This window comes from Homo sapiens, chromosome 7 (assembly GCF_000001405.40).
Source record: "Homo sapiens chromosome 7, GRCh38.p14 Primary Assembly".
Lineage (NCBI taxonomy): Eukaryota > Metazoa > Chordata > Mammalia > Primates > Hominidae > Homo > Homo sapiens.
The window spans coordinates 153506777-153526372 of record NC_000007.14 but is presented as its reverse complement, the minus strand read 5'-3'; the positions used below and the strand labels follow the sequence as shown (position 1 = coordinate 153526372).

The 19596-nt window shown below is 42.6% G+C and overlaps 2 long non-coding RNA genes across 2 annotated transcripts; one reads left to right on the top strand and one right to left on the bottom strand.

Moving 5' to 3' along the window:
• The first annotated feature begins 2141 nt into the window (after positions 1 to 2141).
• Positions 2142 to 3136, top strand: LOC107986750 (uncharacterized). The gene is made up of 2 exons (XR_001745034.2): positions 2142 to 2364; positions 2548 to 3136. It is a non-coding gene; the product is annotated as an uncharacterized LOC107986750 (long non-coding RNA).
• Positions 3137 to 18035: 14899 nt separating this feature from the next.
• On the bottom strand, positions 18036 to 19315 carry LOC105375579 (uncharacterized). The gene is made up of 2 exons (XR_928189.2): positions 19240 to 19315; positions 18036 to 18691 (listed from the first exon to the last, which is right to left on the bottom strand). It is a non-coding gene; the product is annotated as an uncharacterized LOC105375579 (long non-coding RNA).
• Between the last annotated feature and the right edge of the window lie 281 nt (positions 19316 to 19596).

Sequence of the window (19596 nt, the reverse complement as noted above, 5' to 3'; positions counted from 1 at the left end):
TCTTGATTTTTCATCTTGTGTGCAGCCCATATAAATATATATAAGGCAAATGTTGGTTGCTATAGAGTTCAGAACTAAGTATTACTTATAAATGTAGGAACTTTCTTCCGCTAGAATCTCTGGATGTAATGTTCCCTTTCTTTCCCTGGTAAAACTCTTTTTAAATAAATTATTCTGTGTTAACATTATTTTTAAAAGGAGGCCAAATGTGCATATATCTGTGCAATCTGATTTGCAATGAATATATTTGTTTATTCATCTATTCAGCTGTTATGCATTGAACATTTACTACATACGCTCACTCTGCTGGACACTAGGGATATGAGCAAAGTGCTATTTTTTGTTTTTTTGTGAGTTTTTTCTTTAATCTTAAGGATGCCCAATTTAGCCTCAAGGATATTCACAGTAACCACAGGCTGAGCACTTACTGTATTGAATGTTGTGCATGCATTATCTCATTTAATCCTCATAACCACCTTGTGGGAGAGTTACTATTATTCTGTCAACTTAACAAATGAGAAGACCAAAGATCAGAGCAACTAAGGGGCCTGCCCAGTATTGCAGAGATCATAGTTGCAAGGTTGGGATTGGGGCCCACGTGTGACCAACACCAGCACTCATGACCCTCACCCCTGCTCTGGATCCTGAGAGATGGCTCCTGTAGAGAGAGGTCTGTGACTGTCTGCATCGTGCCTGGAGCACACAGTGGGGTGGAGAAAGTGCTCTGAGGACCTGGAGGATGGAGTGAGGCATGCTGCCAGGAAGGCACACGGGTTTCTTTGATTGGGATCAGTACTCTTCTAGGCTCCCGTGTCTCACTGGTGAAATAACAGTGTTATCTCGGACATTCAAACCATCTTCTCACAGGGTCTCGGTTTGCATATGTGATGTGCCTGCCACTGCCAATTCCATCCTTCTGCTCCCAAGTCCAAACCCAGGATGCAAACAGTGGGCATGGAGGACTAACCTTTTAAAAAATATTTCACAAATTGCCGTCTAAATAGGATGATTCTGCCCGAGCTCTGTGCCACTTTCCCCTACAGGAAAACTAGCTAGTTCTTGAAACAATGCCTTATTAAGTTATAGTCTATGCCATTTCATTAAAAAGAAGTCATATCCTACTCCAAGTCACCTTCTGAACCATCAGGGGCTTGTGGACTGAGACCAAGTGCAGTGGGTGACCCTCAGCTCAGTCACAATTTGTGTGGATAGACCAGGGAGCCCACCATGCCTATAGCAGAGCTCCTACACCAGGGCCCAGCTGAGGCGGTGGATGGAGTTGCTGCTCAAGAAGCTCAAGTTGGGAGACACCCCTGCAGCAGCAGGAGCACTGAAAGGAAGGTCCAAAGACTTTCTGAGATGACAGGTCTTCTGCAGGTCTGCAATGCCAGCCATCTTTGTGATTCTTCTTCACTGAATCAGAATGACGGCTTCCTCAGATTCACTGCATGGTTCATTGGAAGGCACTAGAGGGCTTCTCTAGGAAAGAAGTGTTACCCCCAGAAACATGGCCCCTGAGTAAGCACTCTGGGGCCGCCCCTGTAACACCACCCTAGTAGGATTTGAGGAACGAATAAGCCAAAGGGGGAAATCATATATTAGCTGACATTTTATATTTCCTAACTTTGCTTTTTTTGCTATTTGAATGCTTCCTCCTGGGGAGTTTTAATGTGACTTTGTTTAACCTTTGACTACTGTTGAGCTCTGAGCATACTGAGGACCAGGATGGCATCTGCCCACTCCTTTCTCTCATTCTAGGAGGATATGACCTTGTATGATGGGGCTGTGCCAGGGCAGAGGATTCATACACGGAGCTAGTGGACCAGCTACAACTCTCTCCCTCCACCTCCTCCTTGGAGAGGCTCCAAAAAGCTCCCTCCCACCCTGTGAACACCTAGTACACAGGCGGCTGTTCTTTTTCTTTGGAAGTTGCATAAACAGCATCTCCCTAACAGGCAAAGCTCTCATTAGCAGTGTGTTCCTGTCAGCCGCCTGAAGTGAGAACATAAACACAGTCACCAAAACAAACGCCACCCCACTGGCCTCAGCCCCTGGTCTCTGCAGAGGTGGGCGGGGGAGGCCAAGAACAGGCTTAAAAGGAAAGGAATGGTCCTCTGTTTAAAGGCACGGGCCTGCTCTGCATTTGGCGTGCATACCCTGAGGCTGTTCAATTCATTCCTCCCCACTCCCCGTCTGTCTTGCTCCCTGGCTCACACCCTGGATTGGCACAGAGGCGGTGCTGCAGGGAGCTCTACAGAGGGCTCCTGAGGCCATGCCAGGGTCAGAGCAAGCTAGGGAGGGCAGAGACTGGGAGCGCTTGGGTGATCAGCTCTGACTGAGGCGCCGTCAAGGCTCCAGTCACAGGTATGTAAGAAAGCCCACATTATGGGGTGAATGGCGTTCCCCCCAAAACGCATGTGCTGAAGTCCCAGCCCCTGGCACCTCAGAATGGGACTGTCTACGGAGATAGCGTCTTTTAAAAAATAGCTAAATTACAATGAGGCCATAGGGATGGGCCCTCATCCAACCTGACTTGTGTCATTATAGGAAAAGGAGATGAGGACACAGGCACACACAGAGGAACGACCATGTGAAGACTCAGAGAGAAGACGGCCTTCTGCAAACCCAGCAGGGAGGCCCAGGAGAAACTGACATCTCGATTTTGGACTTCCAGCCTCCAGGATTGTGAAAAAATAAACTTCTGTTGTTCAAGCTGTCCGTCTGCAGGAGTTTGTCGTGGCAGCTCCAGGAGGCGTGGGAAGAGAGCTTTCCAGTGCCTCTCCCTCATGGGGAATTCTGCCCACCTCTCCCTCCACTGGCACTCACACTGGCATGTTCCTCCCCATGCCCAGGCTCCCGATGGACCCAAGCCAGCTTGCCTGCCAAGCAAATCAAGCTCCATTCGAAATTCTTAAATTGGCGAAACCAAGTAGACTTTAAGGAGGGCCCAAGACAGTTCTTCTTATTCCCGCAGTCCCAGCACGATGACTACTGCGTTTTTTCACTCCTTAATCCTGTTTTGCATGATAAATTATGTAATCAATTCTGTCTCCATACTTTTACCTATGCCTGCTCCTAAGCATCAGAATACTAAGTAATTAATAAAAGAGAATAAATCATTCTACTCATTTTTGAATACCGACATTCAGTTTCTTTTCAGTGGGTTAGGAAATGTGACATTAATCACAATATGTTGAAATTATTTTTTCAACATGCCATTAGATCTACTGTTGTAGTTCGGTTTCGTGAAACTAAGAAGACAAATCCCTCTTTCCTAGGAGATTCTTGGACAAAAATGAGTCCGTTCCAAGTCTTTCGGTCTTGCCTTAGGTTACACAGCAGCAGAGTCAGAACTAAAATTTTTGTTTACCTCACTTGTGAGCCAGAGTTCAAGATTATTTTTATCTTTTGGGGGGTGTGGGCTGTAGGCAGAGAGGATGAGTATTTTTTCTGTTTGTTCATTTGTTTGATTGGTTGGTTTTGACTGAATACTTGAAAATAAAGATAGCAGATCTCACCCTGATAGGCTCAAGCGTGGAAAGAATACTTCTTTTATAAAAAAAGAAAGGAAAGAAAAAATTTGAGCTGCTCCTGAGCATAAGCCCAGAGACAGGATTTGCCAGTTTTTTTTTCTTTTGCCTTTTTTCTTGCCTCCTGTTTTACTTCATGATGGTATATGGATCATTTGCCTGTGCAGAATCTTGTTGGAGATTTGAAACCCATTAAAAGGTTCTGCACTGTCCTTGTTCTTCTGTTGTTTCAAATTCCAGAGGGAGGAGTGAGGTCAGGCTTATATTAGCTCTGAGTCAGAAAAGCAACTCCGAGTACAAGCATGGAGGCAGGCGCAGGACTCCGATCTCCCTCTGCTTTATAAGGCAGCGAAGGCAAAAGCACGCAGCAGATGTTGCTCCTTGGTGATGGATGGTCCAAGAGTGTGCAGAGACTTGTAGCCAGCTGGCATGAGGGGTGGCCTTGACAAGAGTGGTTAATAATTGCTTGAAGGAAAGCAGTTTTCAGAATGAAGAACATCATGTTCTAATGAGGAATTTAATACCTGTGAACTTTACTAGAAATGGAACAATAAGGCTGTCAGAAATGGGTGCAAAATCTTCAAGAGCAGCTCACAGACTGGGAGAGATAGAACAGGAGAGACAACATGACCATGTTGATGCTGAGTCTATATTATTGCAACAAGATATATTATTTGCAACTTTTTTTTTGTTTGTTTGTTTGAGATGGAGTCTTGCTCTTGTTGCCCAGGCTGGAGTGCAGTGCCGCGATCTTGGCTCACTGCACCTCCACCTCCCGGATTCAAGCAATTCTCCTGCATCAGCCTCCTGAGTAGCTAGGATTACAGATGCCTGCCACCATGCTCAGCTAATTTTTGAATTTTTTGTAGAGATGGGGTTTCACCACGTTGGCCAGGCTGGTCTCAAACTCCTGACCACAGGTGATCCACCTGCCTTGGCTTCCCAAAGTGCTGGGATTGCAGGTGTGAGCCACCATGCCTGACCCCTATTTGTAATTTTTAACAACTGTTTTGGGATGTAATTTAACCCCACTCCACCCACTGTAAGGGCACAATCCAATGACTTTCAGTAAATGTGTGCAGCTAAGCCATCCCTACAATCCAGTTTGCAGCATTTCCATCACCCCAAAAATTTCCCATCACCCTCCTTGCAGTCAATCAATGCTCCCATCGCCAGCCTCAGGCAACCACCAGTCTGCTTTCTGGCTCCGTAAACTTCTATTTAATAAGGATTCTTTGTGTCTGGCTTCCTTCACTTAGCATGTTTTGGAGTTCTGTCCATGGTATAGGAGGTGTCAGTAGTTCCTCTTTTATTGCTGAATAATAATGCGTTGCATGGAGATACCAAATTCTGAATTCACCAGGTGACAGATATGTGGGTTGTTTCCAGTTTGGGCCGCCTTGAAGAATGCTGCCATGAACGTTCACATACAAGTCTTTTTGAGGATGTATGTTTTTATTTATTGCAAGCAGATTCCTAGAAGCGTAATTACAAGGTCTTTGGGAAGTTTATATTTACCTTTTTAAGAAACTGCCACACAATTTTCCAAAGTGGCTGTTCCATTTTACATTGTCACCAGCAATGTATGAGGTTCCTTTTTTTTTTTTTTTTTGAGACGGAGTTTCACTCTGTTACCCAGGCAGGAGTGCAGTGGCCAGCACGATGTGGACTCACTGCAACCTCTGCCTCCCGGGTTCAAGCAATTCTCCTGCTTCAGCCTCCCGAGTAGCTGGGATTACAGGTACCCACCACCACGCCCAGCTAGTTTTTCGTATTTTTAGTAGAGACAGGGTTTCATCATGTTGGCCAGGCTGGTCTCAAACTCCTGACCTCAGGTGATCCATCCACCTCGGCCTCCCAAGCTGGGATTACAAGCGTGAGCCACCGTGCCCGGCCAAGGTTCCAGGTTTTCTAAATGTAGAAGTATCAACTTTGTATTGTGTGTCTTTTTAAAAATTGTAGACATCTTTAGTGGGTGTGAAGTGGTTTTCATTTCATTTCTTTAATGTTTATTGATGTTTAACACCTTTCCAAATGCTTAGTAACCATTTATATGTCTTCTTTGGTGAAATGTCACTCAAGTCTTTTGCCCATTTGTAAGTCGAGTTGCTTGTTGCTATCGTTGTTGTTGTAAGTATTCTTTATATATTTGGCATATCAATCTTTTATCAGAGGTATGATTTGCAGATATTACCTAATAGCCTGTAACTTACCTTCGAATTTTCTTATGGTGTATTTTGAAGTGCAAAATCTCTTACATTTAAGAACTGAAATGTAAGAACAGCTGCCTGCTGTTGCTAATCCCTTCTGTGGCATAAGGTCACCTCTTTGGTTTCTTAGCTTTCCCTTTATCAAAGTAAGCAATTTCCTCCCAGATTTCTTCTGGTTTAAGAACTACAGGTGGTTTCTATTTTCCTTGTTGAACCCTGGCTAATATACCGATAAAGTCCTGATGTTTTATTTCCTTCTGATAATGGATCTTTCTCCATGTAGTCTCTCTCTCCGGAATGGTCTCTCCAATTCCTTACCCCTTCCATCCAGGCATCCCCACACATGTGCCTTTAACCAAGAAAACTTGCATTATTTAGACCTCAGCTGACAAGTCATTTCCCTCACATGTCTTCCTTGACCCCCGGTCTAAGCCAGCTTTCTTCTCTTCCTCAAGTGTTCACTGCGTGAGAGCAGGCACTCTGTCTACTCACTGCCACATTCCCATCACTCAGCACAGTGCCTGGTACATGGCGGGAGCTCAATGAATAGGTCTGAACAAATGAAGGTATGATAATTCAGTGGGTTTTTAAACCTGATGTCTTCTATCCTGAAAAGATTGAAGTAAGGTAAAGAGCTATTGAAACAGGGAGAGCTGAATAGCAATCTTTGACGTTGTAAAAGGTGCCTATGGGGCCAGAAGCCGTTCACATGTTAATTGATTACCAGCCTCTGGAAAGCCTGGGTGACAGAAAGGCCAAAGGACGGGGGCTGGAAACAACGAGACCCTGGATTCTGGAAACAAGAGCAGCTCCTCGAAACAATGAATGTGAGCCTCACTTGCACTGGATTGAGAAGAGAATGAGATACCAGGGGGCCTCCGGCAGCAGGAACCACAAAGAGCCCAATTGGAACAAGGATGTCTGATATGCCCTTTGTTTTTCTTTGAGACAGAGTCTCGCTCTGTCACCCAGGCTGGAGTTCAGTGGCATGATCACAGCTCACCGCAACCTCCACTTCCTGGGTTCAAGCAGTTCTTGTGCCTCAGCCTCCCGAGTAGCTGGGATTATAGGTGTGCACCACCACACCCGGCTAATTGTTTGTATTTTCAGTAGAGATGGGGTTTCAACATGTTAGTCAGGCTGGCCTCAAACTCCTGACCTCGTGATCCATCTGCCTCGGCCTCCCAAAGTGTGGGGATTACAGGCGTGAGTCACTGCGCCCAGCCAATAGGCACTTTTATGTTTATTATTTCTCTTTAAAGTATCTTTGTTATGCACTGGAATATCTGTTTCCCAAGAATTCATGTTAAAGTTCTAACCCCCAGTGTGGCTGTATTTGGAATAAGGAAGTAACTAACATTAAATGGGGTCGTAAGATTGGAGCCCTGATCCGATGGGATTATTGTCTTTACAAGAGGCACCAGAGAGCTTGATCTCTTTCTACAAGACCACCTGAGATGAAAACACAGCAATAAGGTAGCCCCCTGAAAGCCAACAAGAGAGCCCTCACCCGAAATGGAATCAGCTGGGTCCCTGAACTTCTAACCTCCAGAACCGAAAGAAAAGAAATGTTTAAGGCAACTGCCCATGGCATTTTGTTACCGCAGTCAAACTAACTGATACAGCCCTGCCTTTTCTCCAACCTTTAGTAAGTTATATTATATACAATGCCTTGATTCAAGCAGGAAGGGAGTCTTTGTCTTTGCTTGAGTGACAAAGTGAGGAGAAAAAATAGCCCCTTGCAGAATGATGAGAACGGTGCTTACGCTCACAGGGAAGTTACTGAGCCCCGCCAGGACTAAGCACTTCAGAGGCATCCATTGTTTAATTCTCACCACACCCCCAGAGATAGAATCAGGAGCCCAAGGCACAAAATGATTCATCCTGTTATTCGCAGTTGCACAACTAATCTATGGAGCTTCAGTTCAAACCAAGCCTTTCAAGTTCCAGAGCTTATGCCCTACAAGGACTCTCAGAAGCACAGGCCAGAATGAGGCAGGTCAGATGACAGAGGAGAAATGAGGAGCAGGACTTGGGGGCTTAAGGAGGCAAATGGCTGAGTCCATCTAACTTTGATCCCACTGTTTGCTGAGGCAGGCTTGAAAGGAGTAGCAGGGTAAGCATAGAAGTCTTCACAGTGTATTGAAAGTCTGTTCCCTCTGACCCACATGCTTATCCTGCACCCAGCTCATCTCCAGCAGCAGGCTGAGGACAAACACAAAGACCAACCAAACCAGAATAAGAAAGACTGTTTACTCAGCACTTGCTGTAGCAAGGGAGTCAACCAGCATTGCTCGTGTATTGGCAGAGACTCAAAGGTAGGCATGGCAGTGGGAAAGCCTTATGGTGGCAGAAAGGGGTGCCCCTACTTGGGGCTGTTGGTGTGGAGAAGCTGGGGTCGGCTAATTAGAAAAAGGGCATGCTGGGCAGTTGGTTAGGGGACCATATTTGTCCTTCCTTGATTGGTCTTAAGTTAGAAGTGGAACTAAAAATCTGAGACGCTGTCAGATATTAATCAAGCCCTGACCACTTCGACCCAGTTGTTAGAGGGGTTAGGGTTTGGGTTCCTGAACTGATTGCTGGAGAAAGTGGTCTGACTGCCTGTAAGTCTGGCTTGTGGATAGCAGGCTGGCTTCTCCTGGACTGGTTTCTGTAGTCAGGGGTGTCCAATCTTTCGGCTTCCCTGGGACACACTGAAAGAAGAATTGTCTTGGGCTACACATGAAATTGTGAACCCCGAAAATCTGAGACAGGGGTCTCAGTTAATGTAGAAAGTTAATTTTGCCAAGGTTGAGGACACAGCCTCAGGAGGTCCTGATGACATGTGCCTAAGGTGGTCAGAACGCAGTTTGGTTTTATACATTTTAGGGAGATGTGAGACATCAGTTAACCTATGTAAGATGAATGGTGGTTCGGTCTGGAAAAGCAGGACAATTCAAACTGGGGAGGGGACTTCTAGGTTGTAGGTAGATAAGAGACAAACGGTTGCATTCTTTTCAGTTTCAGATGAGCCTCTCTAAAGGAGGCAATCAGAGATGCATTTATCTCAATGAGCGGAGGGTTGACTTTGAACAGAATGGGAGGCAGGTTGGCCCTAAGCAGTTCCCAGCTTGACTTTTGCCTTTAGCTTAGTGATTTCGGGGCTCCAAGATATTTTCCTTTCATAAAATACACAAACACTAACGATAACTGATAAGCTAAAAGAAAAAAATGGCAAAAAAAAAAAAATCTCGTAATGTTTTAAGAAATTTTACGCATTTGTGTCCACAATCAACGTCATCCTTGGCCGCATGCAGCCTGCAGGCTGCAGGTTGGATAAGCTCGCTGTAGAGAATGGGCTGGCCTCCTGGGCTGATTGCTGAGGACTGTGGGTCAGAGTTCTATTTTTTTTTTAATATGGTCTGGTCATATATTCAGTCTGTCAATGCTGAAGGAAAATATATGTCATTGGAGACATCGATTTATTTCAGTGTCTTTTGCCTTAGGTGGGAAAGCTCTTCTTAAATCAGTGATTCAAAGCAAAGACAATTAGAAGCACTTGGGAGTTGAAAGAAAACCACCAATTCCCCGAGCCCACCCCAAGGCCAATGAAGTCAAAATCTCTGGAGCAGGGTTTAGATACCACTGGTTTCTAAAACCTGCTCAGGTGATTCTAATCTACAGCCAGGAACAAGAACCACTCTTATAAAGGCTGGAGACAGGCCTGAGGCTGAGCCAGGAAAGAGTTCCTCAAACGCTAGTGTGCAAACATATCCCTGGGGGATCACGCCTGTAATCCCAGAACTTTGGGAGGCCGAGGGGGGCGGGGGCAGATCACCTGAGGTTGGGAGTTCGAGACCAGCCTGACCAACATGGAGAAACCCCATCTCTACTAAAAATACAAAATTAGCCAGGCGTCGTGGCCCACACCGGTAACCCCAGCTACTCGGGAGGCTGAGGCAGGAGAATTGCTTGAACCCAGGAGACAGAGGTTGCAGTGAGCCAAGATCGCGCCATTGCACTCCAGCCTGGGCAACAAGAGTGAAACTCTATCTCAAAAACAAAACAAAACAAATCCCTGGGGGATTCTGTTTAAAATGCAGATTCTGATGAAGGATGAAGCCTGATACTGCACATTTTTAACAAGCTCCCAGAAGGTGCAGTCGCTGCTGGTGCTCTGGCCACAGTTTTCATAGTAAAGACACAGCATTAGGCCCAGGGAAGGCATAATTAAAGGACTGCTATGGATGGATTTCCCATTCACCAGGATGATTGACCTAGATGCTGTAGAAAAATCAGCAGTGAGGAGGCTAGAGGTCTCAGTTTTATCACTAATGAAATTTAAAAAAAAAACAACAAAAAAAAACCTGTGTGCATGATCTCAGGTAAGTAGCATATACTTTGTAAGCCTCAATTCCCTAACTTACTGTATATGTAGTTTGTTCTAGATCATCTTTATAGAATGAAAACAATGGTAATTAATATTTTAATGCTTACTATACCCACACAATATGTTAGCATTTCATGATGGGAATTATTTAGGATGATAAATGAAACTTTGTTAGGGTTGCCAGATTAAACACAGAACACCCAATTACATTTAAATTTCAAATAAACAACAAATAAATAGTATAATTATGCCCCATGCAATATTTGGGACAGAGCCGTACATAAAAGGATCTGTATCTTATCTACAATAGTAATTTAACAGGTTATCCTGTATTTTTATTTACTAAACCTAGCAAGTCAAAAAGGTCTTATGTTCTTTTTTTTTTTCTAATTTTATTTGAGATTCAGGTGTACATGTACAGATTTGTTATATAAACAAATTGTGTGCTGCAGGGGTTTGGTATACAGATTATTCTGTCACCCAGGTGATCAGCATGGTATCTGATAGGTAGTTTTTTTTTTATCCTCCCCCTTCTCCCCACTCCAAGTGTCTGTTTTTTCCTCCTTTGTGTCCATACGTACTCAGTGTTCAGCTCTCACTTCTAAATGGGAACAGGCAGTATTTGGTTTTCTGCTCCTGTGTTAGTTCACTTGGGATAATGGCCTCCAGCTCCATCCGTGTTGCTGCAAAGAACATAATCTCATTCTTTTTTATGGCTGTATAGTATTCCATGGTGTACCTGTACCACATTTTCTTTACCCAGTCTACTGTTAATGAGCATTTAGGTTGATTTCATGTCTTTGCTATTATGGATAGTGCTGCTATGAACATACATGTGTATGTGTCTTTATAATAGAACAATATATAGTCCTTTGGGTATAACCCAATAATAGGATTGCGAGTCGAATGGTAATTCTGTTTTATGTTCTTTGACAGATCTCCAACTGCTTTCCACAGTGGCTGACCCAATTTACATGCCCCATAGCAGTGTATAAGCATTCCCTTTTCTATGCAACCTTGTCAGCCTCTGTTAATTTTTGACTTTTTAATAATAGCCATACTGACTTGTGTGAGATGGTATCTCATTGTGGTTTTGATTTGCATTCTCTAATAATTAGTAACACCAAGCATTTTTCATATGCTTGTTGCCCGCATGTAAATCTTCTTTTGAAAAGTGTCTTTTTGGCCAGGCACGGTGGCTCACACCTGTAATCCCAGCACTTTGGGAGGCTGAGGCAGGCAGATCACTTGAGGTCAGGAGTTTGAGACCAGCCTGGCCAACATGGTAAAACCCCGTCTCTACTAAAAATACAAAAATTAGCTGGGCGTGGTGGCGGGCACCTATAATCCCAGCTACTTGGGAGGTTGAGGCAGGAGAATCCCTTGAACCTGAGAGGCAGCAGTTGCAGTGAGCTGAGATTGCACGATTGCACTCCAGCCTGGGTGACAGAGTGAGACTCGGTCTCAAAAAAAAAAGAAAAGTGACTTTTCATGTCCTTTGCCCAATTTTTTTATGGGTTGTTTTTTGCTTATATTCATTTTATAGAGGAAGAAATGTTTCTAAGATGTGAAGTAACTTGCCCATAGTGGCCCAGGTAATCAGTGGAGGGGCTGGTAAATGAAGACACACGGTCTCCCTCTAACGCCCAGATTTTTAGATGCTATGATCTCTCTTAAATTGCCAAAACTAGTTGAGGGATGGTCACATTAACAAGACAGGGACGTTAGTAAGTAAGTGAAAACAGGGACGTCGTCACCTGCATGACAGCATCGCATGTAGATTTATTTTGTTCTTGAATTTGTTTATTCTTCTTTCCTTGTGTGCAGTGGAACAACCACAATGTCTTGCTTTCTCAGCAATGGTAAGGACGGACCCGAAGGATGAAGCCTCTTTTCTGTCTAAATCAAGGTCCTCCTATTGCTCCATCTCTCTTCTGTGCTCCATCAGCAGTTTCAGAAGGCGGGCCCTTTCTTCTCCGGAGTTTTGTTGCATGCTGAGTACTGTAAGAGCCTTTGAGCCTGGGAACATTTTTATTCACATGTTGGAATGCAGTTTCTCTTGGATTTATGTCCTCCAGAAGAAAAGTGTCATTTATTGTCTAAAAGAAATGCGAGGATCTGCCTTTCTTTGTGAGCCCATTATACCCATCATCCTTTTCCACTTGCATTCAGTGCCCCATCCCTCACACCAAAATGAACCAAAGTGCATCCTCTCCTTCCAGAATAACTGCTTGGAGAACCTCGTCTCCTCCTTCCTCTTCTCCACACTGCTCAACTGGGCTCCAGCTTAGACTTCTACCTGATGCTCAGGTCTCCAATTTCTTCCTGCTAAAAATAACAGGTATGAGACTCACAGTCTGGGAGTGGGGAGGATCCAACCCCCTTCTGAGAAGCTTCTCTCTTCTCTGAGCTTACTCAAGCTGTTCCCTTCAAATAAACCCCAGGCTGGAACGCCTTCTCCGCTTCTTTACTCAAGAGAGGAGGCTCCCAAGGGAATATGAGTTGCTTTGGGAGTGGTCTTTCTTTCTGATAATCTCAATAAACCATCCTCCAACTATCCCTAAGTCTGTTTGGCCTGGAGTAATATCCTCAATCAGCTTTGGACTAGGAGCCCCGGTCTTGACACCATGGCTGTCTGATTTGACCTTACTTATTGTTCCTAATAAATGCATTGTGCCTTATCCCTTGTATGGGAGGCTTCCACATGTTTATGAATGTGTTTTTTAAACTCTGAAACACCCTTAAATCCAAGTCCTTCTGTTTGCTGGGTCTCTGTCTTATTGGTTTAATCCATTGCCGGGAGCCTGCCATTCATCCTGGGTCCATGAGACTGGGATCCTGCTACAGCTCTAACAATCATGTCAGGAACGAGAGAAACCCCCTTGGTCCTGCCAGCTCGCCAGGTCCCCGTCACAGTGACACTAAGTAACTTTACCTACACTATCACTCAATGACCAGGGGAACTCCCCTAGAGAAAGTCCCTTGCTTCCAGAATTATTTGGCAAAGATTGGAACCCACTTTTCTGGACAGGATATAAAATATCACTTGTGAAGTTAATTGGGAAAGCATTTGTGAAAAGTAGATTTTAAAGGTGACCTATATCCTCAAATACCTCAAATTAATTATTAACAAATTTTTCTCTTGACCACTTCCTCTAACGATGCCAGCTTTTCATTGCATATTAGGTGAGAAGGAAACGGAGATGCTTAGCTTAATGGAATAAGGCTAATGGAGGAGAGAGGCAACACCTCGATTTATCACAGGGTGAGTGAGGGAGACAGATGAGTGCTGGCCAGGAGGCAATTGTATGGTCATCACAGAGAAAGGGGCCTTAGAGGGTTGGTGGTGGTTTAGCAAGGCAAAACGGAGAAGGAAAATCCCGTGAGTGGATGGTATCCCAGCAGGGGAATGGAGAACAATCGCATCAATTCCAACACGCAGATGGGTGGTTTATGTTAGGGGATTTGGAACGGCTAGGAGATCCCAGCTACTGGGTTTCGGATTCAGAGGCAAGATTCCAAACCCTAGCAGGAAGGCAGTGTAGAGCCCCAGTCTCAGAAGTCAGAATAAGGTCACGGACCACATGAAAGCAGGACACAAAGATCTGTGCCCCAAATAATGATTTAACAGTTACAGAAACTATTTTCATTTCATTCTGCAGGGCAGTTTTTATTTTCATCAGAGAACTATTCTTCTAAATTCGTCGTTAATAATTTTCTTCTCCAAATTTGTCTCTCTATCTGTCTGTCTGTCTGTCTCTCTCTCTCTCTCTCTCTCTCTCTCTCTCTCTCTCTCTCTCTCTCTGTGTCTGTGTGTGTGTGTAAGAAAATAGCAAGGAATGACTTAATACTTTGATTCCTTCAACAGCAGTAGAACTTTACAAATAAATGGCAACAGTTTTATATATTTTGTATTTACTTATTAAATGGTTTTGTGGTGGCACTGCAAATTTTGGTAGAGCAGAGTGATGTAAAAACAATATTTTCCTAAATTAGGAAAACTATGGTAACTTCTATTTGGATTGGTAAAATATTACAATTTGTTTAAATGTGTATGTGTGTGTGAATGGAAAGAGTGAGAGAGAGAAACTGAACTACAAAATCTTGTTTAAAAAAAGCTGATGTTGAATCCAATGAAATACATGATCCCAGTGACACCCACATTCTGTCTTTGGGTCTATCATCAGTCCAATAGTAGAAATGCATAAGCCTTTGAAGAACTTCACTATAAATCAACCTCAGGGTCCTGCCATGGCATTAAACTCAGTTTTTAGTAAACTCAGCCTCTAAATTTGGATCACATGATCTTCAAAGTCAGGTTCAAGTCTTCTCAAAAATTTTTATTTTATTTTTAGTTGACAAATAATAGTTGTATGTATTTGTGGGGTACAATGTAATATTTTGATATATGCTTACATTGTGGAATGATTTAAGCAAGCTAATTAACATCTCCATCACCTAATACACTTACCAATTTGGTGGTTTTCAGAGGCAGGAGAGGAGGGTGGATGGGAAAAAGGGAGATGTTGATCCAAGGTTACAAAATTTTGGCTAGCCAGGAAGAATAAGCCTTAGTGATCTATTGCACAGAATGGTGACTATAATTAATAATAATGCATTGTATATTTCAAAATTTCTTAAAGACTAGATTTTAAATGTTCTCAGGTGCAAATCATTTTATTCAAAAATTTTCAACACCCAATATGACAAGAATAACTTTAGATTTTATAGCTTTTAGTAAATTGTAATTGAAAGTAAACCATGCAAGGAGAAGGGGCTGAAGTTTATTCCTTCAAAAGCAAGAAACCTGATAAATAAAATGGAGCAACCTCAAATAGTGTAAAAATATAATTTTGAAATTCCATAATTGTACTTTTTAATATCTCAGCATTTTTAATGGATACATTTATTTTCTGCAGTGGAATAGAATAACATGGAAATGGTCAATGATCTGTAGCATACAAATTTGTTAATTTACCAAAGAATTTTATGTGTTTTATTTTGTAAAAAAAAAAATTAGAAAATCTAGCATAAATTAAGCAAAAATAAAGAAAACTGAGAATATTGTTCACTTAGCAGAATTTGTTCTGCGATCACTAGGACCTCAGTACCCAGAGAAGTGAGCATGTTCCAGACATAATTACTCTGCCCATGTTACTTTTAAAATATGTATAAAAACAATACAAAGGATGTTTAATTAATCTTAATATACATTTACAACTCATTTTAAATTTGGAAGATATTTTTATTTCTGAAAATGGTTTTGGAATTTAGCTAATTTATAGTAAAGTCAATTTGTCAGACAGTAGATATAAACTCAAGCATTGCTCTAATTATAGGCCTTTCCTGTCTCTCCAGAATAAAGTTCAACATTGAGACTTCTCAGAGATAGTTTACTTCTTCGAGATAGTTTACTTCTTCGTAGGAACATCTGAGGAGACAGGATTCCTAGAGCACAGGAAGATGGACAGAGAAAGATTACACAGCAAAAGCCACCCTGGATAAAGGAGGTAGTCACTAGTATCTACAGCCCTGGTTTCTGCGTCAAGTTCATTTCTCAGGACATAAGCAATTGAGAGAAAGAAAGAAAAAAATATTTAAACAAACCACCCCAATAAAGCAGCTTTGTGAGTAATTTTCTTGAGAAGAAATGACCCTCCAATCAGCACCCTTACTATGTGTTCAAAAACTGGCTCTGACTTCTCCCGCGTTCTTGAAAAGTTCTACCCTTCAACAGCGTGAAGGAGAAATGCCTGCCCCCGCCCTGTGGTCTAGGGTTGAGGGGGAGAATAGACAGCATTTTTATCAAAGCCCTAGATTGGTTCTCCTTTCAGAGAAATATATTGGTTGCAATCACTACCATTTTAAAATTCAAAGCCAGTGCAGTTTGAATTAAGCTTCACAGACTCAAATAGATGAAAATTAAATTGTTGTAGTTGGATATACTGAGAGACTTAAATAGACAACAGTCCCAGGAAAATTTATTAGATTGTTCGGCTATGAATTTTATATATTACTCATTCTTGTGATCCACTAATATGCAATTATATTCAGACTGAGTCAGTACAATCAGTAAATAAATTAATGAGAATTTGATGAGCACTTTCCCTTGACTGGACCATGTGTTTGACAGTCTGGATTTCTATGTCCCATAATATGGAGGAGACTATTTTAGTTTGAAAAGTGAGATCTCATTACTTTTAATTCCTGTCCTTCAGATTCCCCTGCAGTTCACTGTGCTAAATTTTAGTCTTACACATCAGAATGACAGCTCTTCCTCATGCATGACTGGTGTGTAACACATAAGACTCCTGTATGTTAATGAGCCACGAAGAATTTCCGTGCTGCAAGCTGAGGCTGGAGAATTCATATATGGATAAATGGCAATCCAGCGCCTGGTGAAGGTCCACTTGAGATATGTGATATTTGAGAGGGGCTATCTAATGCACACATTCACTGACAGTACCATGGATTTTTAATGATTTTTTGCTAGATGAAGCCGGAACATTGGATGACAACAAACACACACTGTATTATAACATAGTAATAATAATTTTGCAGGCAACTAATATAACTGAGAGGTATACACTCATCCATTTGGACAACATGTCTACATGTTTTAAAAATGTGTATTTAAATGCATTGTCCATTATGTTACCTGGTTTTCCTGACTGCATTCTCATTTGAATTCAGTAACAGGATAAAGCTGATAAATAAAGCAGAAAGTTTGTCTTCAGAAAGTAGCAGAAATGTAAGTTAATGCTTTTTCTCTTTTGCCTTGGTAACAAGGAAGCTAAGAAGAAGAAAATCAATAAGCTGAAGTCAAGCAATAGGTTTTTACTTGGCGTTAGAAGGGTTATTATACTTTTAAAAATGTTTTCTTATTCCTAATTGTGCTTAATTTTTAAGACATCTCAAAACTGTATTAGTGCCTGATGGAGGATAAATTCTGGTTGAGATACATGGAATAAACCAAGATAATGGGCTACCTTGTCCTGGTTGTTACATATGGATATTTAAGGATTGGGGGACTGTAAGAAACGTTTGCCTCCTTAAATCTCTTCTCTTCTTTCCAAATTTTCTTTAATGGATCCATTTCTCCATATGTCTATCTGAAGTAAGAATAAGCTTGTAAAACTGAATATTTCTTCAAGATCCATTTCAAGTTTTAGGTCTTCCACAAAAATGCTCAATCAACTTCAGCACACAGTGTTTCTTCTGGCTTAGGACATTACATAGTAGATTTTGTCTATATCTCAAATTATGTCATTTAGCTCTAGTCTGTATTTTATTGCCTATAAGCTATTTCAGAGTATAAATTATACATTATTATTATTTATGTATTTATTGCTCAAGCATTTTCTTTTTTTCTTTATTTTATTTTATTATTTGAGACAGAGTCCCACTCTCTCACCGAGGCTGGAGTGCACTGGGGCAGTCTTCGCTCACTGCAACCTTTGCCTCCCTGTTCAAGCGATTCTCCTGCCTCAGCCTTCTGAGTAGCTGGGATTACAGGCGTGCACCATCGCACCCGGCTAATTTTTGTATTTTTAGTAGAGATGGGGTTTCACCATGTTGGCCAGGCTGGTCTTGAACTCTTGGTCTCAAGTGATCCTCCCTCCTTGGCCTCCCAAAGTGCTGGGATTACTGGTGTAAGCCACGATGCCCAGCCTGCTCAGGCATTTTCTAGAGGACCTAGTAGACTGGATATACCAGTCATAGAGTTTGGAGAGACAGCTTAATGTAAATGAATGATGGTGGTGTGAGTTTCCCTTTAGATAAGAACTGCCTATTCAGATTAGCCCAAGTCTGAGTTAATGGTCATAGATGCTCTAAATCCCATCCTGTGGTTTTCTGAATCTATCCTGGATTGACCAGTTGCAAAGAGGCAAACCTTGAGGTCAAGATTCAGATTTTACCAATGAACTGTCAAATGTAAATGTTTATTTTTATGCCCATTGAGCGAGGCTGGCTCTAGTGCTAGGTGCCAGGAGATAATGAAATACAGAGAAGAATACATTTACCTCCAAAGCCCAATTTCTCTCTGCACCCTCTCATCAGAAGCCAGGTTTGGAAGGAGGAGTTTGTAAGGACACTTTGTAAGGATGAAGCCCCAGCCTCGGGAATGAGAAAGGAGAAGACTTGCAGAGCCTCTGCCTCAGGAGTGCAGGGGCATCTGGGCTGGGAGCCAAGCTTTGGAATCCTTTGCAGCAGGATCCCTGGCAAACAGTGGCCACATCCCGGCTTGGGACCGAGGACAGCACTTGTGAAGTCACACCAGTTGCATCTAATTTTGGACCGGGAATAAAGAAAATAAAGCATAAAGTGCTGGCCTTTCTGACATTTCCACTGAGGGCCTCCCACTCATTACCTCAGGGGAGGTTTGCAGTGAACATAAGCAGCTTTATCTGATTACTCTCACTGAAAGCCAGGTGTTTTCTTTCCTTAAAAATAACTGTCATTTGAAAGAGACCCATATGCACACCATGGCCGCACCACTGGACATGGGCATAGTGCCCACGGGAGTCACTAAGAAAGTGGAAGATGCATTTCTTCACTTCCCCTGGCCCCAGCTTCCTCATCTGCAAAAAGAAAAACATGTCCATGTATTAGATTTCGGTCACTGCATAAAAAATCATCACAAATGTAGCAGCTTAAAACCACACCCATTTAGAAGCTTACAGCTCTGGAGGTCAGAAGTCCAATCGTGTTGTGATTGTGGCCAAAGTCTCTACTCAGGGTCTCACAAAACCAAAATAGGGATGTCCACCAGACAGCATTGTCATCTCGTTTCAAACGGTTGTGACAAAAGTCAGTTCCTGGTGGTTGCAGGACTGCAGTCCCACTTCCTGGCTGATTGTCAGTGGGGGTCACTTTGGCTTGCCACACGGCCCCCTCCTTCTCCAAAGCCAGGAAAGGAGAATTTTTCATGCATCAAATGCCCCTCATACTTTGAATCTCATGCTCCAAAAGAGTCCTTTCCCATTTAAGGTTCACCCAGTTAGGTCAGACCCACCTACTCTTCTTATTTTAAGGTCAACTAATTTGAGACATTAATTACCTCTGCAAAATATTTTCACAACAGCAGATAGGTTAGTGTTTCAGTAAATGGAAGAAGGTGTGTGCTCACCCGAGGCCTGGATTCTTGCGAGCAATCTCAGAATTGCGCTCACCACAGTCCCTCGTAGACCCAACAGTCTATGGCTCTACGAAACAAGAAAAAGAATTCTCCTCCATTGAAAAGCAGAGAGAAAACTGCTCTCCACTGAAGGTTCAAAACTCAGCCGTAGGTTGTCAGAAAGAGAAAGACAGAAGCAAAAAACGGATGGGCTATGTGAGGTCTTATTTTCAGCCATGTGTTTTTAATATGTTGACAATATTTCTCAGTATTTATTACCAGAAACATCTTTCTATTGGTTATTGATAGATACCACACACAAATGCAGCTGCAGTCAGGTAAGTGTAAGAAATGCAGAATAAAAAAGCT